General features: G+C 56.8%; 1 protein-coding gene across 3 annotated transcripts in view, besides 9 other annotated features; it reads left to right on the top strand.

The window, feature by feature from the left end:
- NCOR2 (nuclear receptor corepressor 2) overlaps positions 1–26,708 on the top strand; it is a 243,198-nt gene that overhangs the window by 70,232 nt on the left and 146,258 nt on the right. For all 3 annotated transcript variants that reach the window (NM_001077261.4, NM_001206654.2, NM_006312.6), the window contains exons 3-6: positions 2,013–2,234; positions 10,813–10,940; positions 13,608–13,785; positions 24,250–24,429. In NM_001077261.4, the coding sequence (NP_001070729.2) occupies positions 2,130–2,234; positions 10,813–10,940; positions 13,608–13,785; positions 24,250–24,429 (591 nt within the window). In that variant the 5' untranslated portion in view covers positions 2,013–2,129. The remainder of the gene's footprint in view (positions 1–2,012; positions 2,235–10,812; positions 10,941–13,607; positions 13,786–24,249; positions 24,430–26,708) is intronic.
- Positions 473–1,431: an enhancer, noted in NCBI's record as "H3K4me1 hESC enhancer chr12:124980496-124981454 (GRCh37/hg19 assembly coordinates)". NCBI's record gives its function as "activates a minimal SCP1, AML or CMV promoter by ChIP-STARR-seq in primed H9 embryonic stem cells {active_cell/tissue: H9 hESC(primed)}" and the evidence as "EXISTENCE:reporter gene assay evidence [ECO:0000049][PMID:30033119]".
- Positions 689–818: an enhancer, noted in NCBI's record as "active region_7290". NCBI's record gives its function as "activates an Ori minimal core promoter by ATAC-STARR-seq in GM12878 lymphoblastoid cells {active_cell/tissue: GM12878}" and the evidence as "EXISTENCE:reporter gene assay evidence [ECO:0000049][PMID:35858748]".
- Positions 1,432–2,391: an enhancer, noted in NCBI's record as "H3K4me1 hESC enhancer chr12:124979536-124980495 (GRCh37/hg19 assembly coordinates)". NCBI's record gives its function as "activates a minimal SCP1, AML or CMV promoter by ChIP-STARR-seq in naive H9 embryonic stem cells {active_cell/tissue: H9 hESC(naive)}" and the evidence as "EXISTENCE:reporter gene assay evidence [ECO:0000049][PMID:30033119]".
- Positions 6,022–6,522: an enhancer, noted in NCBI's record as "H3K4me1 hESC enhancer chr12:124975405-124975905 (GRCh37/hg19 assembly coordinates)". NCBI's record gives its function as "activates a minimal SCP1, AML or CMV promoter by ChIP-STARR-seq in naive H9 embryonic stem cells {active_cell/tissue: H9 hESC(naive)}" and the evidence as "EXISTENCE:reporter gene assay evidence [ECO:0000049][PMID:30033119]".
- Positions 15,122–15,211: an enhancer, noted in NCBI's record as "active region_7289". NCBI's record gives its function as "activates an Ori minimal core promoter by ATAC-STARR-seq in GM12878 lymphoblastoid cells {active_cell/tissue: GM12878}" and the evidence as "EXISTENCE:reporter gene assay evidence [ECO:0000049][PMID:35858748]".
- Positions 15,222–15,411: an enhancer, noted in NCBI's record as "active region_7288". NCBI's record gives its function as "activates an Ori minimal core promoter by ATAC-STARR-seq in GM12878 lymphoblastoid cells {active_cell/tissue: GM12878}" and the evidence as "EXISTENCE:reporter gene assay evidence [ECO:0000049][PMID:35858748]".
- Positions 16,493–17,000: an enhancer, noted in NCBI's record as "H3K27ac-H3K4me1 hESC enhancer chr12:124964927-124965434 (GRCh37/hg19 assembly coordinates)". NCBI's record gives its function as "activates a minimal SCP1, AML or CMV promoter by ChIP-STARR-seq in primed H9 embryonic stem cells {active_cell/tissue: H9 hESC(primed)}" and the evidence as "EXISTENCE:reporter gene assay evidence [ECO:0000049][PMID:30033119]".
- Positions 17,001–17,510: an enhancer, noted in NCBI's record as "H3K27ac-H3K4me1 hESC enhancer chr12:124964417-124964926 (GRCh37/hg19 assembly coordinates)". NCBI's record gives its function as "activates a minimal SCP1, AML or CMV promoter by ChIP-STARR-seq in primed H9 embryonic stem cells {active_cell/tissue: H9 hESC(primed)}" and the evidence as "EXISTENCE:reporter gene assay evidence [ECO:0000049][PMID:30033119]".
- Positions 18,020–18,529: an enhancer, noted in NCBI's record as "H3K27ac-H3K4me1 hESC enhancer chr12:124963398-124963907 (GRCh37/hg19 assembly coordinates)". NCBI's record gives its function as "activates a minimal SCP1, AML or CMV promoter by ChIP-STARR-seq in naive H9 embryonic stem cells {active_cell/tissue: H9 hESC(naive)}" and the evidence as "EXISTENCE:reporter gene assay evidence [ECO:0000049][PMID:30033119]".

The following is a 26,708-nucleotide window of genomic DNA, read 5'->3' as shown; positions in this document are numbered from 1 at the left end:
CCAAGGCCACGCAGCTTAGCGATGGTGGAGCGGGACGTGTTCCCATGTTCACGGGAATTGCGCCATACATCCTGTCTCGGGGCTGGGAAAGCCCACGCAGGCAGGACCGAGGTGGTGGTAGATGTGTCAGTCTTGGCTCCGGAATTCCTTGGCTTTTCTGTGTTTGAAGGATGGACAGCAGCCAGTTGAAGGGGTGGCCTCCTCTGTGACTCCTTCTTTCCCTGTGTGAGCCCGAATTCTTGGTGGCATGTGACAGAAACCCAGCTTGGGCTGCCAAAGACAAAACGTGCAGAAGGAGTGCCCTGGCTCCCCTAATGAAGTGAGCAGGCTTCGACCTGCCTCCAGCCACCATCGGACACAACCTGCTCTTACCGCCCTTTCGCCCTGCCTTCCTGCCGGTGGGCGTGGGTCTCAGGCAGGCTCCTGCTGCATGGTGGCCCCCAGAGCTCCAGGCTTTCATTCCCAGCTTAGATCCCCAGCAGAGAGCACCTTTCTCCTGGTTCCAGCAGCAAAAGTCTCAAGGCAGATTCTCATTGACTCCTATTGGGTCACAGGCTCATCCTTGAGACAGTCACTGGCCCAGAAGCATGCAGGACTCTGATTGGCCAGGACCGGGTCACATGACCATCCCTGGCACCTGGGGAGGGAGGGAGGGTCAAGTCTACACTAATGAGAGATGAGGTGGGGCCTGGGAGGCAGTCAGGGCCCCCAACCTTAACCTTCCTCCCAATGCCCCTCCACATTAGGCCTCCAAGGGCTTTCCTGCTTGGAGAAGGACGGTTACCCTCTTCAGGTTGGGGGAGGGGGTGTTCTGATGAAATTGCAGGGCTGGGTATGCTCTGTTTCCCCTCCTGACCCCTGACCTCGTGTGGTGCAGCCTCAGTCCTCCGCCACTGGAGGCCCACATCCAGGCGCTGGGTCCCGGTGCCAGGGTGCATTTCCCTCAGCTCTGGGGGGTGTGTGCAATTGTGGGGGTGCTGGAGAGGGCTTTGCATGAGGCAGGACCTGATGGACACACCTTTTCTGAGGGACTGGTTCAGGGAGAGTGTGGAGGGGGCCTTGGTCTGGGATGGGACCCTGTTGTAAGCCCAGCAGGTGGCGTGGAGCTGTGGCTGGCGGAGGAAGGGGAGAAGCCTTGTTGGGGGTGGGGGGTGCTTAGGGGTTTCCTGGCAAAGGCAGCTTCGGAGTAGGGGTCCCCGTGGCTCCCTTGCTGGGCCGTGTCTTCTCTGTGGGGCTGTTTTTCCATCTGTAAAGCTGCTAGCCCGCTTCGTGTTATTCCTCTGGCGTGGCCACGAGTAGATCCTCTCCCGTGGAAGGCTCCAGTATCTGCCCCAGGAGCCGTTTGGGGTACCTATCCCTAGGCTGCAGGGCCCGACTGGCTGTCATTCTGCCCTTGGCTCTTCCTGGTGTAGCCCTCCATGTCCTAATCCCACCTCCTAGTTTGCATCTGGCTAACCTCATATCAGTCCTGTCCCATGTCATGGTGTCAGCCTCCTGCACAGGGTCATAGCCTTGCCCAGGTCATGCTGTGGCCTGTGGCCCGTGGCCCGCCTGAGCTGGCCCTGGTCCCTGCTGCCCGGGACAGCGGTGTGTGATGTCCCTGCTGCCGGCCGCCCCTCCTGGGACAGGTGCTTTCTGGGAATTCTGCCCTGTGACTTAGAAACCCGGGGGCCATGGAGTGAAGTTGGATGGGCTTAGGGGGGCTGGGAGCCATCTGGGTGGTGGTGAGGGCAGCGCAGAGTCCCTGTGCCTGCCGGGTGAAGGCCTGGGTGGGGAGGAGGCCTCTGGTCCCTTGCGTGGCTTGCATGGCTCGGAGGGACCTTGAATGCCATGCCTGTCTCCTTGTGCTCCCGGAGAACAGGTGAGTGTGGCAGTGGATGGAGGAGGGTCCAGGCAGGCCCCTGGGTGCTCGCGTGTCCTCACGGGACCACAGGAACGACTCGGGGACCTGTGCACGGAGGAGCCAGCTGCCCCGTGGCTGATCTTGTTTTTCTTTTCTTGTTTTCCCGCAGGTGCCAGTGACGGGGTGGCCCGTGAGCTGATGACGAGGACTGGCTTTTAATCCTTGGTGGTGATTAAGAGAAAGCTTATTGGGGCCTGGGAGCAGCTCCCCGCCGACCCCCACCACCATGTCGGGATCCACACAGCCTGTGGCACAGACGTGGAGGGCCACTGAGCCCCGCTACCCGCCCCACAGCCTTTCCTACCCAGTGCAGATCGCCCGGACGCACACGGTAAGGGGGTGCACATGTGTGCGCCTGGGGCTACCTTTGAGACCCTTCTTCCATTCCACTGAGTCTTCACCCCTTCCTTTCTCCTGGGAGCCAGGCTCATGTGGCTCTGAGCCTCCCAGGGCAGAGGGGAGGCCGCCACAGAGACCCCTGGTGTCTGAAGCCTTTTCCAGAATATCTGATAAAATCTCTTTGCTCCCATTTTAAAGCTGGGAAGATGGAGGCTGGGGCCAGGCTGAGCTGGGGCTCTGCCCTCTCTGGACTGGTAGTGGGATTGGCACGCGAATGTGGAGCTCCTGCTGTATTCACTTTCCTGCAGCCTAGCCTCACCTCTGCTCCCCCGCTGCCGCAGTATTGGGTAGGATTGGGGTGGCTTCCAGGGGGCAAGGGGGCCGGATAGGTCACAGCTCCCCTTCCTTCCTGTCCTCCCGTTCCGTGTGTATTCACCTTGGTGCGGCTCGAGGCTCTGAGGTGAGGAGGCCCCACACAGGTTGCGTTTCTGCCTCCCTGACATGAGGGTCCAGGGTGCTGGCTGTGTCTTTGGGGAGCCCGCCCTGTGGCCAGGGCAGATGGCTTGCCCTGGGAGCAGGTGGGCCTCGCTGCCTGCCCACATGTGTGCCCTGGTCGGGTCTCCTAAGCCGCACCCCACCCCACCCCACTTCCCAGCGGGGGCCCCATTTCCTGCCTCTTCTCTCACTGCATGGTGTGGCCAGGACAACGGGCCTTGGTTTCGCTCCTTTGGCATTTATGGGGTGCTTGCTGTATACCATGTCTCTGGGTGTTTGCCAAGCGGCTTTCAGAGTTGTGGGCCTCCCCCTTGTGACCTCCTGGCTGCTGAGTGAGGGGATGTGAGGCCTGGAGGTCACAGCTGGAGTGAAGCTGACCCTGCCGGCCACCGTGGGGGTGCGTGTGTGCGTGTGTGTGTGTGTCTGTCCTGCCTGGCTGGTGTGGTCCCCTCTTGTGAGAACCAGAAAGGAAGCTGTGTGGGAGGACGTTTCCATCAGTGAGCAGAAGGTTTTGCATATAAGCTCACTGGCCCTGCCTGGGGGAGTCCCTGACACAGTGGCCTCCTGTAGGTTGGGCCCCTGGGGCGCTTTGCAGAGTCAGCTGTCCTCAGTGGGTGCGTTGTGGATCCCTCTTAGGACGGCAGTTCCCTGGGCAGAGTCATTGCATTCTCCTGGGCGGCCCTGTGAAAGAGCAGCTCACGCTCTCATCCCACTTCGCAGATGAGGAGACTGAGGCCCAAGAGGTTAAATCACAGGCCTCAGGTGCGATTGCCCTAAGTGGGGAGGCTGCCACAGCATCGGGGCTCCAAGCTTCTGTGTCCCCCCACTCCCCCGTGCCTCTATTTATTGAGCACCTACTGCGTGCCTGGGGCTAAGGAATAGACTCCCAGTGGGAAATGATTTTATATTTTGTCATCATTGTCTTTATCTGTCACCACCACCAACAAAAAGAAGAGCTCTTGTTAACTGAGCACCTACTATGGGTCAAATGTTGTTCAAAGCCCTGAGTGTATATGGTTGTGTGCATTCCCCTGATCACCCCAGAGTGGGACTATCATGCTCTGTATTTTGTCAATGGGAAAATATTTCACAGGGTAGGAAACTGGACAAGTTACGTAACCTCTCTGAGCCTCAGTTTTGTCACCCATAAAGTGGGGGTACTGAGAGTACCTGTCTCCTAGATTCTCACGAGGGGTAAAGGGGATATGCCGAATGTTCTTAAGATGGCGCCTGGCTCAGGGCCAGCCCGCTCTGTCCGTTTGCTGCTGCCGTTCCTTGGTCTTGTTGCTGTACCTGCAGCTGCCCAGAGGGGAACCTGCCTGCCCTGGGGGTGCTGCTGGCTTCTGGTTTCTTGTCCTGTCCTGTGGAGGTTCCCACTCTTCTCAACCGCCCTCACCCGGCTCCTAGCCTTGGGGAGTCCTCAGGCTGCTGTGGCCTCTGCTCTCCCACCCCTCCTGCCCTTTGCCCCAACTGGGCCCTCGGGGTCACTGGCTGACCCTAGACACCTCCCATTCTTCTCCTGCTGGGCCGTCAGTGACGCAGGATGTGGGTGGACAGGGCCAAGCGCTCACCGCCCCCTCCAGGCAGGAGGCTGAGGCCAGGGAGTGAGTGGGGCCCAGCCTGGCGGCCACAGGTGAGAACATGTCTGTCCTTGTGTGGGGGCAGCAGGGGCCACCTGTGTGTGCTCCTCCCTGGGGGAGCTGCCCCATATCGGACCCTCCTGCCTCATGGTAGGGCTGCCCATCCAGAGAATCCTGCTTGTCTCTTGAAGGGCAGGAGGAAGAGTTCTGGGCACTCTGAGGAGGGCCCTGCTGCCCTGGGCATATTGCAGGGTGGAGCCGCTTTCTTGCTGTGGGTTGGAGGTGAGCTGGGGGCTGTGATCTGGAGGCCCCTCCCTGGAAGCCCCTCAGCCCTCAAACCCTTCCTGTCCTTTTAAAGGGCAAGACCCAGTTCGAAAGATACTACCCCCTTCCTGAGCTCCTCATCAAGCCACAGAAAGACAGATCCCCCCGGGTAAGGGGACAGTCAGTGGCGGGAACCTGGCTGTCCTGGTTCCTCGTACAGTAGCCGAGGCCATTCTGCTGGGATCCACGGGATGCCTCAGTGACCTTCCCAGATTCAGGTCACCTCCACGCATACTCCCGACAGGCCTACCTCCTGGGACAGCTCCTCCTGTCTGGAGAGTCCTCTTCCTGGTGCTTTGGGCACGGGGCTGCTTTGATGGCAGGTCTTCCCTGGAGCCTGTGAGACCTCAGTGTGGCTTCGAACCCTCTCCGTGTTCAGCTTGCTGAGTGGCATTGGCCCGCTCACAGCCACGTGGAACGGCCTCAGTTTCCCCACCTGCAGTACCGGTGTCCTGGTGGGTCTGTGCATCGGTGGCAATGTCTGCACGCAGCAAGCGCGGGGTAGTCATCTCTTTCCTCCTGGAAGGGTGGCAGGAGACCCAAGCAGGGCCTCTTCCCCCTGGGGAACCACAGGACCGTGGATGCCGAGCTGGCGGTGGAATGGTGCAGGCCGTGGAAGCCGCTGCCTCTGCCTGTGCTCTGCCCTGGCGTCATCTGCGGGCTGCTGGTGAGTGATTCCCAGCACAAATGGGAGGCTTCACTTAGTTGGGTGCTTGCAGACAGAGGCCTGGACCCTGAGACCATGGAAAGCCCCCAGGTTCCCTGACTCAGCCTCAGCCATGCTCCAGGCTTCTATATGCATCATCCCTGCCCTCCCGCTTCCTACCTGCCGCATCCCTCTGTGCCTCATTCTCTCCATCCTCAGGGGCCCAGCTTCTCTCCGTGACAGTAGCAGGATCCTATGACTCTCCCTGAGGGTCCTGGGGAAGCGAGGGTCTCCAGGGTTGAGGGTCCAGTAACAAAATGCTCACAGCTTTTGTTTTCCCGGAGATCAACGCCTCCTCCTCTCCTGGCCTCCTTTCAGGCTTTCTGTGGCCCAGCTGCATTCTGCCTTCTTCTTCAAGTCCTCTGGGACCCCTGAACACTCCTGAGCTCCTCCAGACCTTGGGCTAAACGAATGGGCTAAAGGAATGCAGTTAAAAGCAGGGACACAGAGTCTGAATCCCAGCGTGACTCTTTTCTGCTGTGTGGCCTTGGGCAAGTTACTTAACCTCTCTATGCCGCAGTATTGAAGACTGGTTCATAGCACCGGTTCTGGAGCCAGGTTGCTTGCATTTACATCCTGCCCCAGTGATGTCCTAGCTGTGAAACAGGGGGCAAGTGGCCTTACCGTCCCGTGCCTCAGTTTCCCTATCAGTTGAGCAAGGATAGTTTTAAGATTGTGAGGATCCAATTAGTTGGTAGGTGCAGAGTCCTTCGCACAGGGTATGGACAGAGTAAGCAGACATTTGATATAATCAATAATGTAATGATGACGATGCTATTATTACAACATCGCCTTTAGTAGCTTTTTCTGTCTTGCCCCAAGGGTACACTTTGGGCTTTGCCCCTAGGGCAGGGGTGAGCACAACCTTCTCTGTAAATATTTCAGGCTTTGCAGGCCATGCAACCGCCCTTCGCGGCCCGTATGGTGTGAAAGCAGCTCAGCCAGGGTGTAAGGGAGTGGGCGTGGCCTGTGCCTGTGACACTGGACGCTGCTGCCTTGGCCTTGGGCCCTAGTGTGCTGCCTCTTGGCCTAGATTAGCTCTTATCAGACTCCCTATGGGAAGGACCGGTCTGTTTCATTTCCAGTTTGTCACAAATCGATATGGGGTCCCACTGCACAGACGCAGGGGCTCAGCCAGGCCCAGTCCGGCAGGGTCAGACAGAGTTGGTTGTGCCCTTGGATGCCAGGGTCACGCCAACCCCAGAGGTCTGCATGCTGTCATGTTCTGTGCCCACTTCGTTGCAGTTGGCAACGTTGCAGACCTTTGGTGGAGTAGTACTGCCCTGGGCTAAGGCTCCCAGACCCTGGAGACTGCCTGGGCCAGGCTGGGGCAGGTGGGCGCGTGGGGATCACTGGAAGAGGCTAGACTTGGGAGGCTTTGCAGTGTCCTGAGTGCCCTGGGGGGGGTCTCTCCATTAGCTTCATGGCCCCCTTGCAGCTCAGTTCCTGGTGCTTGGTGATGGCTCTTAAGAGGCTGTTGAGGGATGGTTTGGCCCTCAAAAGAGAGGCTGGTGGGAGCTCCCATGCTGGGGAAGATTCATTCATTCATTGGGAGCTCCCATGCTGGGAGATCCATCCATCCATCCATCCATCCATCCATCCATCCATCCATCCATCCATCCATCTGGCAAATACTTATCAGGCGTCTCGGGCCCGTCCTCTTCCAGGCCCTTGCAGTGCAGCTGTGAACAGAACAGGTAAGCATCCTTGTCTCAGGGAGCTGACCTCCTTGTGGGGAATGGCGAGTTGGGAAGGAGATGAGGGGAAGGGCTGAGGTTGGGGGAGCCCAGATTTAAGTAGAGAGTCGGGGAGGAGCCTCACTGAGAAGCTGCCTTTGGAGCTGAACCTGGAGGAAGGGAGAGGGCCAGGCATGTGGGAATCTGGCTGAGGAATGTTCCAGGCAGCAGGAACAGTATGTGCAAAGGTCCTGAGGTGGGAGCTCTCTTGACTGTAGCCGCCATCATTCCGGGAGAGACCCGTGAATGCAGCCAGGGTCTAGGAATGTGCTGAATTCTTCCTTTGCTTTCCCATGAATCCAGGGTCCAGGAACGGGCTGAATTCTTCCTTTCCTTTCAGTGTGCAATCCCAGGCATTCCCTTGACACCTTCTGGAGTAAGGAGCCCTATGCAGGGGCCAGAGAGGGGCACTCCTCTCCCGCAAAGGAACTTCTCCCAGTCCATGCTCAAACATCCCCCCGCATCTAGCCCCTTTCTCCTCTCTGCCCCCAGCCACTCCTCCCCACCCTTGGGACCCAGCCAAGAAGGCACCAGCTGGGATTCCCTCCTGGATGAATGGCTTTTTCTGGTGGCCTCTCACCTTTCCCAGGAGTTTTAAGGGTGTAATTTATTGGTGGCCCTGATTTCCAGCTTCAGAGGTGCCATGGTCAGGGAGAACCCTCTGAGGCCAGGGGGCATCACCTGAATGGCTTTTTCCTGCCTCCCTTTCTGAGCAGCTGGGTCAGACTCCCTCTGCCCAAGTCAGGTTTGCTGCTGTCCTACAGGGACAGGTTCAGAGCCTGGGGACTGTCCCCTCTTGTCCCTCCTCAGAAAGCCAGCTCAGCCTTTGCCTTGCATCTCAGAACGTACCCCTTATTGCTGTGTGACGTGGACAAGCCACTTACCCTCTCTGTGCCTCTGTTTTCTCGTCTTTGTGTGGGGCTTCTTGTAATACCCACCTCACAGGGTTGCTGTAGGGATGAAATTAACTAATATATTTAGAGCGTTTAGCTGCAGGTACACAAAGGCAATTTATTACTGTGGGGTATTATTGTTGTTTTTTATGATTAATGTTGTCGCGTTGGGGAGCTCTCCTGCTTGGAGACGTGGCGAGGTGGTTTCCAGCCTGGGCGTATTCCAGCTCATGGGACCCCTTGGGCTCCACCTCAGGTCAGTTTCTCTGGTGGGGCCTCCCCAATTCTTGCCTTCCCCTAGAGCCTCCAGGTACTCTTGTTGGGGGAGTCCCTGGGCTCAACCCTGGTGACCTGCTTCAAGCCTAGTGGTGGGGGCCAGTGTGGACCGAGTGTCTCCCAGGGTTTAGGGTCCAGTAACAAAATGCCCACAGATTTTGGGCAGAAACGGCACCCAAGATGCTCCTAGGAGGATCTCCTAAATTGGGAAACGAAGGCCAAAGGGTTCATGCAGAGGCCTCCCCAGCCCCCACTTCGGGCCTCCTCCACCATGGTTGGCTGCCGTGGGCACTATCGGGCCGAGGCCCTCTTCCCAGGGACTGGACCGTCCGCCCTGCTTCTCTGCCCACTTGGCCTTGGTATGGGAGAGCTGGGTGGAGAGGATCCTCCTGGCAGACTGTGAGGCCTGCTGCTTTCTTCTCACACCTCTGTGTGTGTGGCAAGGTCTTTGCCTGGCAGCTGCGTCATTGTCAGCCCAGTGGCCTCCTCCACTCCCTCCCTCCAGCCCCGTCTTCTCCCTTCTCCTCCCACTGAGAGCACCTAGAGTCTTGTGCTAGACACTGTGGGATGCAGGAGGAGGCTCGTGCCTTTTCTGCCTTCTGGAGGCTGCTCTCAGCCTTGGGGGAATCCCTCAGAGAGGTGAGGGAGATGAGTGTAGGAGGTGCAGGCCTCCTTTAATCTGGGCTGGGCACCCATTTCAAAGAGGAGAAACTGAGGCTCAGAGGGTTAGAATAACAGGGCCAAAGACACACCTTCTGTTGGAGGCCTTGCAGCTTTTGGTATCTACATCGGACTGTCCAGGGAGGTCCTTTCCCCAGCTTTTCCAGCTTCTGAGGCTGCCAGGGTCCCCATGGATTCCACTTGCTCATCCTTCCTGGCCTCTGGGCTCCCGGGCTCTTATGTGCTGATTTTGTTGGGTCTGCAACAGATACATTATCAACGCACCCACCTGGCATTGTCTCTGATTCTCTTTGCAAAAATAACTGCCTTGTTGAAAAAGCCAGACAACAAAAGAGTGACTAGATTTTTATGGAAAATTGGGAAAATTAAAAAAAGGTGCCAAGAAGAGACGAAGTCCCTTGTAATCCCACTCTCTAAAGCCTTACCTGTCAGACATCACTAACTGATTGCCGCAAACAGCCTCACTGAGTGTTCCAGGCAGACAGAACTAATCTATTGGAATTGGTGCGTAAGTGAAGCCTGTCTTGTTTTTGTTTGAGAGGCTTGTTACTGTCTTTTTTTTTTTTTTTTTTTTAAACACAGTTTAATGTTTCTCAAATCTGGGTGTACTTGGCAATTGGTATACATCTAATTTGTTGATATTGAGTTTTACCCCCTATGATAATGGATAATGTGTTAAAGAAACAAGTATTTGGACTCTTGTTAAGCAGGAAGACCGTACAGGACAATTGTGCTATCAGCGTCAAGACTGTCACGATAAGGGAGAGAGACCAGGCTCAGCGCCAAATACGGCCAAGACAGCTGGGGCCTCATAGCCTAGCCGCAGGGCGGAGGGAGGGGTCGGTGGATGGAAAATTACTAAGAGGAGCGCTTGAGGGTGGGGGGTTCCTCTAGACTGACTTAGCAGGATGCCTGCAGCTGGGCAGAGCCCCGCAAGGCCAAGGCCAAGGCCGAGGCCCCGTAGAGAGAGGATGGGTCAGAGGAGCTTGACTCAGGTGTGGGCAAGGAGAGTCTTTGTCAAATGGACGACGGTGTGTTATTAAAGGAGGAAGGTCTGCCTAAGGCTTACCCTTCTGGCTGTGATACGAGCGGGGAGTTCCTCTTTTACAGGGCGGCCTTGGGGTCAGGGGTCGCTTTGTTCTGAAACCTGGTCTTTGGGCCTCGCTGGCTGTCGGGTGTTTGTCGCCATCACTTGCCACCATCCATCCTTCTCCTGGCGAGTGAGGCCCGAGCCTCGTTCCCTCGCGTGGGCATCACTTACCCACCCTGCCAAGAGCTGGGCATCTAGGTTGGGCCTTTTCCCAGTTGTTGCTGCAAATGCATTTCTGTTTTTACAAATAATGCTGCCCCGTATGCACCTTCAGTCCTGTCTTCCCAGGCCTGCATTTCCAAGCTTCAGCTCCTCAGGCTGGAGGGACCCACAGCCTGGCAGGGGTAGGATGGGGTGGGAGGGTAGAAAAGCGAAGACAGCTTCCTCTACTCTGGCCCCCCAGTCAACGCCAGCATGGCCGGCAGACAGAGGCCATGGTTAGGATGGTTCCAGGCCTGTATTAGCCTGTGGCCTCAGACAGCCCCATCAGACCTCCCAGGCTTGGCAGTCTCATTTGGAAGGTGGGCGTGATCGTGGGTCCCTGGGATGCTGTGTGGGAAGGATGCAGCCCAGGGCCGTTCAGCTGTGTTCTTTCTCCTCCTTGGTGTTCGGCCCCAAGGGTAGCCTCTGGCCAGACGGTCCCTGAGGTTCCCTGCAGGACTTGGGCTTATCTGCCTAGGGCAGGAGCGAGCCTGAGCAGGGAGTCCACGGCCTTGCCCACTGTGCCCTGCCGTGCCCCGCCATGCCCGTGCCCGCCCACGCTCACCACTCCTCTGTCCCCTCCTGCAGGACGTCGGGCTCCTGGAGTACCAGCACCACTCCCGCGACTATGCCTCCCACCTGTCGCCCGGCTCCATCATCCAGCCCCAGCGGCGGAGGCCCTCCCTGCTGTCTGAGTTCCAGCCCGGGAATGAACGGTGAGGAGAGAGTTGCTGCCTCCCTGTCCAGGGCGTGAGAGCTCCTTCTCAGATGGAGAAGCAGAGGCCCGTGGCAGAGCAGGAGCACACAGGGTCCTGTGAAATGAGGGGATGTCGGGCCGTGTGTTCACCCTTGACCTGGCGTGGGCGTGACTCGGGGTGAGGATGGGACGAGCAGGGAAGAGCCACGTGGCCCTCAGACTTCCAGCGTGGAACTTCAGTGGCCTCTGTGGGTTTAGGCAGCAGTGGGGACCTCCAAGCTGGGCTGCAGCAGGGCTGGGCTTCTGTGGGAAGATTTGAGTCCACACCTGGTGCCCCTGGGGCCCCTGCCCTCTCCTCCCATTCTTCCTTCTTCTCCAGCTGGCAGAGGACACCCTCTGGTGTGTGCCTGTGCTGGGCCAGCCTTACTTTCCTTGATCCAGGTGGGAAGGGAATGAACAGGTTAGGTGGTAGGGTGAGAGGGAGGTGGGGAGTGGGAGGGAGGTGGGGTGGGGAGCTGGAGGGACTACAGCAAGGGGAGGGCCAGGGCTGGGTCAGAGCCAGCTCTCCATGCATTCACTTGGGATCGGTAGGCCACGTTCTTTCTCCCATCTTCTCTAGGAGCTTCTGCTGGAGACGGCTGAGGTGTGGGGAATTGTGCCTATTTCTCAGATGGGGCAGCTGAGGCTGCGAGGTTGAGGGATGGGCTCTTGTTTACTCAGCCAGGACTAGAAGTCGAGGCACCAGGCCCCAGCCCTTCATGGTACCACGGAGGTGTCCCAGGGCCCCAGATCAGGCGGGGCTGGTGAACTCAGGTGGGCGCAGGCGTCTGGAGGAGGGGAGGCCGAGGCAGCGTGCCTTCTGTACCTGGATTGGTTTCCTGGGCCTGCCGTCGCAACGTGCCACAAACTGGGCGGCTTCAAGCCACAGAAGTGCATTCCCGTGATCTGAAGTCAGGGCGTCCGCAGGGCCGCGCCCCCTCAGAAGGCTCAAGGGGAGGATGCTTTTCTGTCTCCTCCAGCTTCTGGGGGCTACAGGCGTTCCTCAGCTGTGGCTGCATCGGTCCAATCTCTGCCTCTGCCTCTGCCTCTGTCTCACGTGGCCATTTCCTTGTCTGTCTCTGTGTTCTCTTGTTGTGTTACAAGGATCCCAGTGATCCTAATCCAGGATGGCCTCATCTTAGCTTAATTCCATCTGCAATGACCCTAGGTCCAAAGAAGGTCTTATTTTGAGGTTCCAGTGGCTGTGCATTTTGGGAGGATGTTATATTTGGAGGTTCCAGTGGCCGTGGATTTTGGGAGGACATTATTTGAGCCACTGCAGTGCCACTATCATGTTTAAGAGAAAACACCATGCGCTTCCTGCCAAGCCCCATGTAATGGTGAAGCCCTGGGTTCTGGGCCTTGAAGAGGGGGATGTCTTGGGGCCCAGCTTTGGAGGGACAAGGACTTGAGGGCCCTCCAGGGAGGTGAGCACAGAGGGGTGGCTGCCCCGCTCCCCGGGGGGGCCAGCAACACGGCCCCAGCCCGTGCTGCAGTGGGCAGCATTCAGTCAGTCTACAGGCACTGATTGAACACCTACTGTGCGCCAGTACCTGGGGACAGCCATGAACAAGACAGGTGAACCACCCTGCGTTCATTCATGGGTGGGGGAGGTGGCCAGGAAACACCTGTTGTCACCAAGCGCGTGGGAGGGCAGTGGAGAGAGAGCAGACAGGCGGGTGTAGTGTGGTCTGGCCTGGGACAAGGAGGCGCCATCTGCACCATGACAGGAAGGGGAGGAGCTCACATGGAGGGCCTGAGGTCTCAGTGCTCCAGGCAGAGCCCAGCAGGTGCAAAGGCCCTGGGGCAGGAGTGCAGTGGCGGGACAGCGAGGGCCAGGCCAGGCAGGGCTTGTGCAGGAGGGGAACAGCTGTGGATTCCCTGCTTAGCCTCTGGGAAAAGCATTTCAGCAAGGCCCATATTCAGGCTCTTTCTGGTGGGTGATGGTTGGAGCCTCAGAGGTGGAGGCCAGGAGTCCCAGCTCCGTGGGGTGTGCTTAGTTAGGCAAGGCCATGCCCTCTCTAGGCACACTGCGGAGGAGGGTTCAGGAGAGCCAGTCGCTGGGGAAACTGGGCAGCTCCAGTCTCTGCACCAGGCTGCTAGGCTGAGTTGAGAAGGTGGTTAGGCCAGGTTCAGCAGCAAGAGTTCTGCGATCGGCCAGCGATGTCTGCCCTGCGTGGGTGAGAGGGAAATGGCATCACGGGTGCTGTTATCTGTGTTAGGCTCACAGCGTTTCCCGGATGGACTGTGCCTGTGAACCACCCAATGATCTTGTTAAAATGCCGAGTCTGACTCAGTAGGCCTCAGATGGTACTGGAGATTCTGCATTGTAGCCAGCCCCAGGTGGGGACGGTGGGGTGGTCCGTAGCAAGGGAGGGGCAGTCACTCTGGGGTGTTCCAGTGCCACCGTAGCACACTCCCTCCCTGTAAATGTCCTCGGTGAATGTGGACCTGAAGGAAGGCAGCGCTGCATTGGAGTCCTGCCCTGCTGTGGGACCGTGGGAGGTGGGCTCCTGTGAGCACCTTCCTGGCAGGATCATACAGAGCACGGCGCGCAGTAGATGCTCGGCGCAGAGGGTGGTCGGGGCCTCGGGAGTTCTCAGAGCCGCAATCTCCTATGTGACGTTGGATGCCTCACCTCCTGCAGGTCCCAGGAGCTCCACCTGCGGCCAGAGTCCCACTCATACCTGCCCGAGCTGGGGAAGTCAGAGATGGAGTTCATTGAAAGCAAGCGCCCTCGGCTAGAGCTGCTGCCTGACCCCCTGCTGCGACCGTCACCCCTGCTGGCCACGGGCCAGCCTGCGGGATCTGAAGACCTCACCAAGGTAAGCCTGGGCCCCCAGCTGGGAGCTCCTCTCCCGCTTGAGGTTCTGCTGCTGGTTGGGCTGGGTGGGAGGTGGTGGGTAGGGGTGCAGGGAGGGGGCAGCTCGGGCAAAGGCTTGGAGGTGGGCCAAGCACCGGGTGCACAGAGCTGGGTGGCAGGAAGAGGGCAGGCGCTGGGTCTCTGGAGGTGCCAGAGTGTGGGAAGAAGTGGGGAAGGTGTTCCAGGTGGGCAGAGCAGCAAGTGCAAAGGCCCTGGGGCAGGAATAGGCTTGTGGTCACGGGGTAGCTGGCGTGAGGGAGGGGAGAGCTGGGATGGGAGGGCCTGGGGTGCCGTGGAGCAGAGAGCTGCCATTCGATGGGGGTCAGGACCGTCCTGTGGTCGGTGGGCAGCTTTCAGCACATTCTGAGAGCTTCCTCGAGGGTGGGTTGTTTGGTTCCATGCTTGCTTGGAACAGGGGGCTCAGTGACCCCTGCCTCGAGCCCTGCACAGCAGGCAGCCCCCTGGGCCTTGAACCCCGGCCCGCGAGGTGGACAGCTCAGGGCTCTGCCAGGCACCTGAGGCTTCTGGATTCTTAAGGGTCAGGGAGGGGAGACTCCAGAGTCCCGCAAAGTGAGATGAGACAGAGTTGGCTCAGCACTAAAGGGGCGGTGCTTGGTTAGGACATGGCCTGGACCCCTAGAATGACAAAGCCGCCTTCTACTGCCCAGTCTGGCTGCTCCTTGGGCCACCGTGTGGCACTGGGCTAGCGTGGGTTGAGTCTGCAGCCACCCAGGCCTGAGGGACCACGGATGCACTTTGGGCAGGGGAGCCAGACAACTTCAGGCTCGTCTGCATCTCCATGGGGGGCTGCCTGGCATTGCAGGTGGGCCCAGGCCTCACCTGGGCACACTCACTTATCCCAGGGCCCTCCGTCCATCTGCCCTCAGGTGACCCAGGTGCGATTTCCACCACCCCCACCTCCACAGCTGTGCTGCCTTTGTGCCTCTCTGATCCCCATTTCTTCCTCACTGATCTGGGACCTTGTGGGCAGGGTGTCACCTGGTCATGTGGGTAGAGGGCTCGGCTGTGGGCCCCATGCGTGGGAACTATTTGGCACCCGTGAGCCGGCATGGGTGGTGGTCTGGCTGCGGGGCCAGGCCACCTGGGCCAGACTCGGCCTTCTCTCGGGGAGAGAGGATACCTGCGTGGAACCTGGGATATCCCTGGGGTGGGCTTGGGCTGGCAGGAGGTGGGGGTGCCGTCCTGGGGCTGGGATGGCTGGGCTTCCCCTCCTGCTCTGAGTGGCTGTGGCCCCGACACCTGCACACCTGCCAGATACCCACAGGGCTGCCTCTGGGGCCAGGGGAGGGAGGGGCTGGGGTGTCTGTGTGGTCGTTGGCTGGCTTGGCCTCCCTGCCACTGGGGCAGTCCCCGCCTCACCAAGTTGTCACAGGAAAGTGGAGGTCAGTTAATGAACTCCTAGCCAACAGACCACATGCGCCTGAGAGCCCACTCAGGAACCTCCCCCGGCGGATGCAGCTGTGTTCTTGTTGGCACTCAGGGACTCCACCCTGGCCACCTCCCTGCTCTCCTGCGTACTTCCAGTCCATCAGCAAATCCTGACACCTCTGCCCTAAAATATCTCAATTCCAGCCTTCTGCCCACACCTGAGGCAACCCCCGGCCTGAGCTCGTCATTGCTCTCCAGTAACTTTGCAGTAGCCTCCTCCTGGGTCTCCCTGCTCCTGCCTCCCTCTACTCCCTTCAGTTTATCTTCCAAGCAGCAGCCAGAGGGCTCTTATAAAGGCAGACGACTGCATCCCCCTGTGTGTTCCCCCCTGTGCTCCAAACCATCCATGGCTCCTGTCTCAAGCAGGAAAAAGCCAAAATCCTTGCCATGGGCTGCAGGTCCGGCGTGATCCAGCCCCGTCACCTCCCTGACCTCATCTCCCTGCAGCAGCCCTCTCAACCGCTCACGTACAGCCTCCCAGGCCACCCTGGAGTTCCTCAAACACGCCAGGCACATTCCCACCTGGGGACCTTTGCACCGGCTGTGCCCTCCGCAGGAGCGCCCTCCCCCAGGCACATTCCTCTTTCCTCGCTCCTTCCAGCCCTGGCTGCCCTCCAGGGCCTGCATGGCAGGGGAGACCTGTGGCTAGCCCTGTGGGGACTCTCGAGGCCACTCATGGCTGAGGCTGCAGCCCCACCACGTCCTCCTGGGGTGTGAGATTCAGCCACAGGGGCCCTGCCGGCCTTGAAGGGGGTCTCTGTGGCCTGGGGCTTGGGCCGCCTGCACTTGGGTCTGGGCTTGGGACTGGTGTCGATGCCAGTTCCTCTCGGGCACTGCCCCCTCGGGTACCCCAGCCAGCATCCCTGCCCCGACGCCCAACCCTTCCAGCACATCCTTCCTGCCCTTCCTCCCCTTCCTTCTCTCCTTCTACACCTTCCTCCCTCCTTCTTCCTCCCTCTCTTTCTTTCCACCCAAACAGCCCCCCTGTCCTGCTCACTCCCCTTCACCCCCTGCTTCCTCAGCTCCTGCCATCTCTCCCTGCTCATCCCCTGGGGCAACCTCCCTACCACAGAGCCACTCCCAGCCACCACCCAGCGCCACCCAGCCCATCTGCCTGCGGCCATCTGTCCTTGCCTTCATTACCTGCCCCTCCCCCTCACCTCCCAGCCGCCCCTCACCCATGGGTTCTGCCTGCCATCATCTCCCACCAGTGGCCTTGCCCCTCCCCCATCCACTCACCTCCCCCATTCCCTTGCTCCCCCACCCCCTACCCCCATCCGCTCCCCCTCCTTCCCCCACTCGCCTGGAGTCCAGGGTCCTGTGAGCCCAGTCAGCCCTTGCAGGAACTCACAACTCACAGCCGGACAAGGGCGCCTGGGGGTGCTTGGCCCGTGGCCATTTCTTGGCTGGAGAACGACACCTCCCACGTGTGTGTCCAGCCTGGGGCCTGCCACGCCTCCAGTGCCCTCCACAGCCCTTTGATTTCACTCCTCTTTGAAACAGAAAGTGGAACCTAGACGGTGGCGGTGGTGAGGATGTGCACAGATTAAGCACCTGTGGTTTGCTGCTGTGGGAGTTTGCTGTGGTTTCAGTAAAGCTCAGGACATACCAGGCTGGAGGCTTGTTCTCTCTCCAGCTTCCACAGAGGATGCCGATGGCAGGGCTGGTGGGGGAATCGCAGGCAGTGTCCCCAGAGGCTTCAGTCCCCCAGGGTCACTCAGCCACCCAGCTGTGTCTGACTGCCCAGGCCAGGGTGGGGCTGTGGCCAGGTGGCATCCTAATCCTTGTTGTAGCCTGGTGCCCGGCCAGCTGTGACACGGGCCCCTCCCTGCACAGCCCTGGGGCACCCTAAGCTCCTTAGCAGCCTCAGGGCAAAGGCCATCCTCCTCCTGCAGCGGGAGTAGGGGTGGGCGGTGGGGACTGGGAGACAGCCCCGGGGAGGGAAGTGGCCACTCAGGCCTACAGGGTCCCCTTTTCTGCCCAGTGCGGCCGGATTGGATTGAATGGTTGACCCCTAGGGTGAGGCACCTCCTTTATCAGGAGGCTGGCACGCAGGAGGCATTCACGCAGTGGTAAGAATGCTGCAGTGATGGCGGGTGCCATTAAGTGAGCGCCGACTGCCTGCCACGTGCCAAGTCATGCCCAGCCAGTGTCATTCCCTGATCTCTTCCCAGCCCAAGGAGGCTGGGTCTGTGACCCCCTTTTGTAGACGGCCCCAGGCTGAGCGAGCTGGACGTGGGGGAACGGGATTCAGGCCCAGGCAGCTGGGAGTGCACCCCATGCCTGCCTCCAGGTTGACCTGCTGCTGTGGGTCTCCCCTCTGGTCTCCCTGGTGGGGTGCCCTCCTCCCTCTGCCTGGCATCCCCCATTAGCACTGGAATCTGCTTTCTCCTCTTTTGTTTTGTTTTGTTGTTACAGAAGGCAGGAGAGAATTTTAGCTCAGCCTCCTGGGAGAGATGTTTCCATTTGAACAACTCCCCTGAAGTGGGGCCTGGATGGATAGCAGGCCAGGGTGTGTGTGTGCATGCGCGCGCGCGTGCGTGTGTGTGCGCGTTTGTGTGTGGGTGCGGGTGTGTGTGTGCGTGTGCGCGCATGTGCGTGTGTATGCGCGCATGTGCCTGTGTGTGTCCCTGCGTGTTTGTGTGTGTGTGTGTATGCGTGTGTGCACACATGTGCCTGTGTGCGTGCATGTACCTGTGTGTGCGTGCGTGTGTCCATGCGTGTTTGTGTGTGTGCGTGAGTGTGCATGTGTTGCACGTGTGTATGTGTGTTTGTGTGCGCACGTGTGTGCATGTGTCCGTGCATGTGCGTGAGTGTGCATGTGTGTATATGCATGTGTGCGTGTGTTTGTGTGTGCGTGTGTGTGCATGTGCACGTGTGTGTGCATGTGTTTGTGCGCAGGCAGCTCAGGGCCCAGCCTTGGAGGGTGACCAACCCCTGAGTGGGCAGTTGTCCCCCAGGTGCGCGTTTTGTCTCTGCGCAGAGAGCAGGCCCGAGGGGTGAGTTGCTGCCTGCCCGCCTCTCCAGCACGTCCGTGCGCTCTGGCCTGTGGGTTCTGGAGGGTCTCCATCCCTTACCGTTGCTCTGTGGGTTCTAGAGGGTCTCCGTCCCTTACCGTTGCTCTGTGGTTCTTTCTGCCTGCCTGGCTTTCCCTCTTCTTGTCAGGAATGCCTCTGCCTGTGGTGCGCCCTCTGGGATCTCTCTTAGTCTCTGTGTCTGTCTCTGTCTGTGTCTCTGCCTCTCCATCTCTTTCTCTTTGTGTCCCTCTATCTCTATCTCTTTCTGTTTGTGTGTGTCTGTCACCACGTCTCTGTCTTTCTGTCTCTGTTTCTGTCTTCATCTATGTCCATTTCTGTTTCTCGATCTGTCTGTCTGTCTTCGTCTCTGTGTCTGTCTCTCTCTCCTCTCTGCTTGGACCACAAGGTGGAGGTGTGATGAGCTTGGTGCTGGGGCCTGACCAGCCTGGCCGCAGTAATTGCTCCAGGCCGTGAAGAGATTTGGAAAGTCTGAGCAAGGGAAGATGCCTGGGAGAGCGAGTTGAGAGGTTTTCTGCATCTGCTGTGTGGAATTCAGCTGGGCGCCTGAGGCAGGAATTTGATGGGATTTTTCTGTGTGTGCCCCCTCTGCCCCACCGTGTTCCTGTTTTCTGATGCTTCTCTGCTCTTCAGCCTCCGGAGTTTTGTGGCATCAGAGACTTCCTTGGGAATTCACCGAACTTTGTTTTGGGGACTTTAGAATTGTCACAAATAGCACTATCTCTGAAAATCCCTAAGGGGGACAGACAGCCCCTATCAAATATAAACATGAATTCTGGCTCACATAACTGAAGTCCAGCATTGGTTAGCTTCAGGTAACAGCTTGATCTAGGTGACACGATGTCCTCAGGACCCTGTCCCTTTTCATCCCTTGGCTCTGCCATCTTTCACAGGGTCTTGGTGTGTTAGCAGGAAGGAAGCCGGTGACTCCAGGCCTTCCTCCAGGTTCAAGGCCAGCAAAAAGAGAGAACTCTTCCTCCTCCTCTCCGCATTTCTAGCCCCAAACTGCTTTTCCTCCTCACCATGAGTGGGCCCATGCCTGTCCTAGAACCTGTCATTGTGGCCGGAGTAGGGGGTGTATTGGGAGTGCGTGAAGCTGGGCCCTGCTTTTTCCTGGAGCTGGCACAGGGGAGCCCAGGGGCTTTTCTGCCTCTCTGTCTTCAGTTTTGCATAATAAACTTTTCTCTTTCACGCTAGCTTGAAGTTTTACACCAGGGGCATCTGATGAGTAAGAGGTACCCACTGCCCCCTGGCAACTTGTGCGGGGTGTATTAGTTTGTTGTTTTGTTCCCTGCAGCTTTGGGTGAGTGGGAAGGTGGACAGTCATCAGGAGTGCACCTGCAGGCCTGACCGCCAGGCTCCCTCAGCCCCCGTCCTGGGAAACCCAGCACCAGGGGAAGCGCTCTTGGCAATCCGGGTTTGCCTCTTCTTTTTCAGTTGAGGGTCGGTTCACAAAAAAGTAACCACATTAAAGTGAAGAGCTCGTTGGCTTGTAGGACATTTACAATGTTGTGCAGCTGTCACCTGTCTAGTTCTAGATCATTCTCATCACCCCAAAAGGAGACCCCCATACTCATTAATCAGTCACTCCCTGTGTTAGTCTGTTCTTACACCGCTAATAAAGACATACCCGAGACAGGGTAATTTATAATAGAAAAAGGTTTAGTTGACTCACAGTTCTGCATGGCTGGAGAGGCCTCAGGAAACTCACAGTCGTGGTGGAAGGGGAAGCAAACACGTCCTTCTTCACATGGCAGCAGCAAGAAGTGCTGAGCAAAAGTGGGGAAAGCCCCTTATAAACCATCAGATCTCATGAGAACTCACTCACCATCATGAGAACAGGACGGGGGAAACCGCCACCATGATTCAATGACCTCCACTTGGCCCCTCCCATGACATGTGGGAATTATGGGAACTACAATTCAAGATGAGATTTGGGTGGGGACACGGCCAAACCATGTCACCCCCCACTTCCCCCTCCTCCTTTTTCCTGGCAACCACGAATCACTGTCCATCTCTCTGGATTTGCCTATTCTGGACATTTCTTGTAAGTGGAATTGTACACTCTGCAGCCTTTTATGTCTGTCCACTTCCACTCAGCATCATATTCTCGGGGTTCATCCACAGTGTAGCCTGGGTCAGTGCTTCATTCCTTTTTTTTTTTTTTTTTTAATAAAGATGGGGTCTTGCTATGTTGCCCAGGCGGTCTTGAACTCCTGGGCTCAAGCAATCCTCCTGCCTCGGCCTCCATGTCCAGCCCTTCACATTGCTTGTATGGATATGCCATGTTTTATTTATCTGTTCATCAGGTGATGGACTTACTTGTGCAATTTTGCTGCGAATAAAAGCTAAACCCGAACTTAAAGAAGAACCCATTAAAGACAACGGCTTTTATCCATGGAGAGTTTAAAGGAAGTAAGTTTTCAGCAACTTTTCCAAGTGTTGCTAGTGGTTGCCAGCCGCTGCTTTTACTCCTGGTGCTGCCTGTTAGCCCTGGGGATGGAAATCTTCTTTTTGTTAATGTTGCTTTGGAGAATTATTCCCAGGTTGGACGAGCAGTTTGCTCTCAGAGTTTTAGGGTGGCCTGGCCCCCATAGCCCTTCCTTCCACATCCTTGTCCTTGCTCTGTTATCTCTCTTCTTGGTCCAGGTGGAAGAGCAGAGATAGGATAGCGGAGATGTTTCTTGCCACCAGTAGTGCGACCGGGCTCTGGGTGCCATGTTTGCTGCCACCTTTTGTCTTAAGAACCTCAAGAAATGACATGGGCTGTAGGGAGAGACCAGCCAAGCACCCAAGGTGGACCGCAGTGAGGGCCTGGGCGGTGGCGTGGGGATGTCTCACGTCAGTTGGCACAGAAGGGGTGTTGGGCACTCTGGGTAGCGGAGCCAGCCTGTGCAAAGGCCCGGGGGTGCCAGACGCATGAGCTGTCCATGGTTTGCTGTGGGTGGGGTCAGATGCCCATGGCCCCCTGCCTGCCTTCCTGTTGGGGAGCAGTGAGGGCCCCACACCCACTGGTACGTGCATACACACTCCTGAGGCTTTTTCTAGGGAGTTTTTCTTCCACACACACTTTTGCCTTGAGTTTCTGGAGGTCCTGCACTCTGGGTCCCTGGAAGGGGTGCTGCTTTGGCGCTTATGCTCAGCCCTATGGTTCTGTGGGGTGAACGGATGTGTGGCTGGGACCCCACGTGGAGTCCCCACATGGCTCAGCCCCACGGTTCTGTGGGGTGAACAGATGTGTGGCCATTTCTGACGTGGGAGCCCCTGCAGCCTCCCCCTTCAAGCACCTTCCAAGGTAGGATGCTGAGTGGCCTTGGGCATGTCGTCAAACAGAAATCCCACTTCCCACGGTGGTTATGACGGTTACGTGGATTAAGATTTGTGAATTGCTTAGAGCAGGAGGCCAGCAAACTCCAGCAAGCTCCAAATCTGGCCCTCAGTGTGTTTTTGTAAATAAAGTTTTATTGGCACACAGCCATGCCCATTTGTTCCCCGTTGCCTGTGGCTGCTTTTGCAATACAATGGCAGGGGTGAGTAGATGAGACAGAGACCTTGTGGCCCTCAAAGCTTGAGCTATTTTTACCATCTGGCCCTTTATAGGAAAGTGCCGGCCTCTGGCATCCAGCCCCAGTGGCCTCCAGGCTCTGTTTCTGCCTCTGCGTAATGGAGATGGAGCAGCAGTCCCCTCGGAGGGCTGTTGTGGGATCCACTTCATGGGGTGTGCAGAGGACTTCATGGGGTGTGCAGAGGACTGGGATAGGCTGAGCTGTGAGCGGCCCCAGGTGTGATTTCTAGGTGTCCCTGGGGGAGGTGGCCTGAGGAGCATGGAGGACTGCATTGGGGCGATTGAGGGATATGAGCCCTTTTCTCTGTTTCCCTCGAGGAGTCCGTGTGTGTGGAGGGAGCACCGGGTTGTCCAGGCCCCTGCTGTCCTTGCCCCCACATCTCACATGGTAACAGAGGCCAGAGGCAAACCTAATGTGACTCCAAGACTCTTGGCCCCTGTGGGTCTTGCTGGGGCTCTGTGGGGTGAGGGGAGGACAGAGGCCCTGAGGATGGCAGGAGTGGACAGAAGATGATGCAGCCTCTGTGAATCCTGAGGTTGGTGGGGCACTCGGTGGCCCCCGGGCTGCAGTTGTCCGGAGAATAATGCACCCTGTGTCCTCTGGGTGCAGCTGCTGCGGGGGCGGGGAGGTGGTGGCCTGGCGCTGCTCTGGGCCTTGTCTGCCAGCAGCTGCCGGCTTGGCCCCAAGGATGGCACAGGGCGGGGGCTGGGTTCTGGAGCCCAGCTAGGGGAGGACCATCCCAGCCAACATTTATTGAGGCTTACGGTATGCCAGGCTCAGAGCCATTAACTCATTCAAGACTCACAAGGACCGGGGAGGTGCCAGCTGTTCTCCCCATTGGGCAGATGAGGAACTGAGGCAGGAAGCAGTTGAATGACCTGCTGGAGGTCACGGAACTGGAGAGTGGCAGAGGGGGCTGGGATTTGAACCCAGGGCTGCACAGGTGAGGCCTGGGTTGTTTTTTCTAACCTCCTTATCCTGAGAGTGTTTCCAGCACAGCCTGGGTGCACCAGACTTTAGCTGGTGGGATGAAGGCGTCCATGGATAACTGAATGCAGGCTTCCTTTGTTGTTAAGCACATTTTCAAAACAGCTGTATTACACAAAGAGTGACTCTCAGTGAAAGAAGATCAGAAAAAATAACGGGCAAATAAAAAGAAGAAAGTAAAAATACCCTCTTCTGCCCTGCTGCCGAGATAACTCCTTTTAGCTTAACTGTAGCCCGTTCTGATGGCTTTTCCGTGTGTTTGGGAACATATGTTTTCTGCAAAGCCACGTGTGTGTTGGCTGCATGGTTCTGGAACTTGCGTGTTTGGACTGAGCTTCATGGATGAATGTTTACAGAGGGTATGCAGAGGCCAGGCCTTGGGAGAATGGAGGCTGTGGGTCTTCGTTCCTTGGGCTGGTGGGGAACACACAGATGGGGTAAGTGGAAGAAGAGAGGTGTGTTACGCGAACAGGGAGTTGGAAGACTTCACAACTTGAGGAGAGGCTGGGAAACCATTCATGTAGCAAGAGCATTTGAACCGCATCTTGAAGGCTGTAAGGGACTCTGAATTTTGGAGAATGGGTGATGGCTGGGATGGGAATGGGATCCTTGAACAGGTGAGGACTGTCCTGACAGATGTCCAGGACTCTGGGCCTGGAGTCAGGGATGGAAACCCGGGGTGTATTGGGGAGGGGGTGTGTATTAGTCCGTTTTCATGCTGCTGATAAAGACATACCCAAGACTGGTCAATTTAAAAAAGAAAGAGGTTTAATTGTACTCACAGTTCCATGTGGCTGTGGAGGGCTCACAATCATGGCGGAGGGCAAAGAGGAGCAAGTCACATCTTACATGGATGGCAGCAGGCAAAAAGTTGGCAACTACATTAGTCAGGGTTCTCTAGAGGGACAGAACTAATAGAAAAAATATATATATATATTACATAAAGGGGAGTTTATTAAGGAGTATTAACTCACACGATCACAAGGTCCCACAACAGGCCATCTGCAGGCTGAGAAGCAAGGAAGCCAGTCTGAGTCCCAAAGCTTGAAGAACTTGGAGTGTGATGTTCGAGGGCAGGAAGCATCCAGCACGGGAGAAAGATGTAGGCTGGGAGGCTAGGCCAGTCTCGCCTTTGCACATTTTTCTGTCTGCTTTATATTCGCTGGCAGCTGATTAGATGGTGCCTACACAGATTAAGGGTGGGTCTGCCTTCTCCAGCCCACTGACTCAAATGTTAATCTCCTTTGGCAACACCCTCACAGACATACCGAGGATCAATACTTTGCCTCCTTCAATCCAATCAGGTTGACAGTATTAACCATCACAGGGTTGTACAGACTGGGGGGTGTCCCCTGTGCTGACCCCATGCCCGTTTTTTTTCTGCCACAGGACCGTAGCCTGACGGGCAAGCTGGAACCGGTGTCTCCCCCCAGCCCCCCGCACACTGACCCTGAGCTGGAGCTGGTGCCGCCACGGCTGTCCAAGGAGGAGCTGATCCAGAACATGGACCGCGTGGACCGAGAGATCACCATGGTAGAGCAGCAGATCTCTAAGCTGAAGAAGAAGCAGGTGTGAATGGGCAGGGGGAGGGGGAGTGTTTGTTCTGAGTCTCCATTCTAGCAGCAGTGACAGCGGTGTCACAGACATGTGCCAAGCCCTTCCCAAGTTCCTGGGTGCTCACTGGTTTTTATGCCCTTTACGTTTATTGGACAGGAGCACATCCACAGAACTTTCTGCCATGATGGAAACACTGTGTATCTGCAGGATAGCCATGTTCCACTGTTGAGCATTTGAAATGTGCCTACTGCGACTGAGGAACTGATTTTTAATTTTTATTTAATATACGTATTAAATGTGCCTTTGAATAGCCACACAGGCTGCCGCATTAGACAGCACAAGAATGGAGGGTGAAAGTTCAGGATTTCTAGCCAGTCTGTCCAGGTTCAGATCCTGTTTCTTCCAGTACCAGGCAACGTGGGGTGGGCAGTCCCTTCTCTGTGCTTCACTTTCCTTATCTGTAATGTGGGGAAACAGCCCCTGGCTCTGGAATCTGAATGGACTGGCCTCCTAACTGCTCTTTACTAGCTGTGTGGCCCTGGAACCTTCATCTCTTGGAGCCTTGGTTTCCTTGCCTGTAAAATGGACAACTTGTAGAGGAGGGAGCAAGATCCCGAGATTAAAAATAAATCCTCATTGTCACTGTTGAAACCACACAAAGACAAGCGGAGAAAAAGCTGATATAAATATTTATAACATTCATTTTATAACTTTGTTTTAAATATGAGTTAATATACAATTCTTTGATAATCTGCCTTTTCCCAGCTCTTCATGGTTTGCTCCCTGGTATCATTCAGGTCTCTGCTCAGATGTCCCTGACACCAAGAGGCCACTGTCAGCCTTGTACAGGAACACACACCCCCAACCCTCCTCTATCCCGGGTTCAGCCAATCCAGCCAATTCTAGCTGCTGCTGGTTTTTGTAAATAAAGTTTTATTGGCACAGCCACGACCACTTGTTTGTGTATCTGTATACACATGTGTGTTTATATGACTGCTTTTCTGCCACAGTGGCAGAGTTAAGTCATCACAACAGAGACCTGTGTGGCCTGCAAAGTCAAAAATATTTGCTGTTTAGGCCTTTAAAGAAAAGCTTTGGGCTGGGCATGGTGGCTGATGCCTGTAATCCCAGCACTTTGGGAGGCTGAGGCTGGAGGATCACTTGAGCCCGGGAGTTTGAGACCAGCGTGGGCAACATAGCGAGACCCTGTCTCTACAAATAATTTAAAACATTAGCCAGGTGTGGAGGCACATGCCTGTGGTCACAGCTACTCAGGAGGCTGAGGCAGGAGTGCCTGAGCCCAGGAGGTTTAGGCTGCATGAGCCATGATTGCCACTGCACTCTTGCCTGGGCAACAGAGTGAGACTCTATCTCAACAAAAAGAAATTTTGCTGATCACTGATCTGTCTCATCACCCTGCTGGTGACATCATTATTTGAATTAATATAGACCCAGCTTTGTTATACAGTGGTCCTCTCCTTGTCTCCCTGTTAACTGCTGTGTTCTGAGCAGCATGGGGTACATAGTAGGTGCTCATTAAAAATGGTTGATTGAGTCATTGTGACACTGTCTGGGCCCCAGGGAGCGTCTAGACTAATGGGAGAAACAGGCTCATATCTAGTGCCCTCCAGACAAGGAAGTAGGGGCTCCAAGGAGGATCAAGGGCTCATTTTAGCCACTGTAGGCAGGTGGGTGAAGGCTGGTGAGAGTAGGCTTCCAGGAAGAGGTGCCCTGGTAGCTGGGTTTTGAAGGACGCTCCAGGGGGAGAGCATTGATTTCAAGTGTCCATCGTGGCTGTCACGTGGTTGGGGGAACCAGGATTTGAGGATAGTCCAGCAGTGAGACCCGGTCCTGGAGACTCTGCCAACTGTCCTAGGCTTCAGTGGGCAGTGGGTAGGTCTCATGTTGGTGGCACAGGCATCCCGAGAGGGGCCGGGCCCCAGCGGCGTGGGCAGGCATTGCCAGGGCCAGCCTGGTACCGCACCGTTAGGCTTCCAGGCCTGGCCTTGGGGTGGGGCTGAAGCTGCGGGTCACTGGCACACATTGGTGACTGCAGCTGGAAGCCAGGTGGCTCAAGGCAGCCCTCAATGGTTAGGTTTTTGTTTGTTTGTTTTTTCCCCTCTAAATTCCACTTTGGCATTTTTTAAAAGTGAAATTCTCAAGCATAATTATTTTAAAGTGCACAATTCAGTGGCATTTCGTACATTTGCAGTGTTGTGCAGCTGTCACCTCTCTCTGGTTCCCAGCCATTTCAACAACCCACAGGGAAGCCTCATAGGAGCTAAAGCAGC

The sequence above is a fragment of the Homo sapiens genome, chromosome 12, assembly GCF_000001405.40.
Source record: "Homo sapiens chromosome 12, GRCh38.p14 Primary Assembly".
In the NCBI taxonomy this organism is placed as follows: domain Eukaryota; kingdom Metazoa; phylum Chordata; class Mammalia; order Primates; family Hominidae; genus Homo; species Homo sapiens.
The sequence above is the reverse complement of the archived record's forward strand: the minus strand, read 5'-3'. Positions and strand labels throughout refer to the sequence as shown.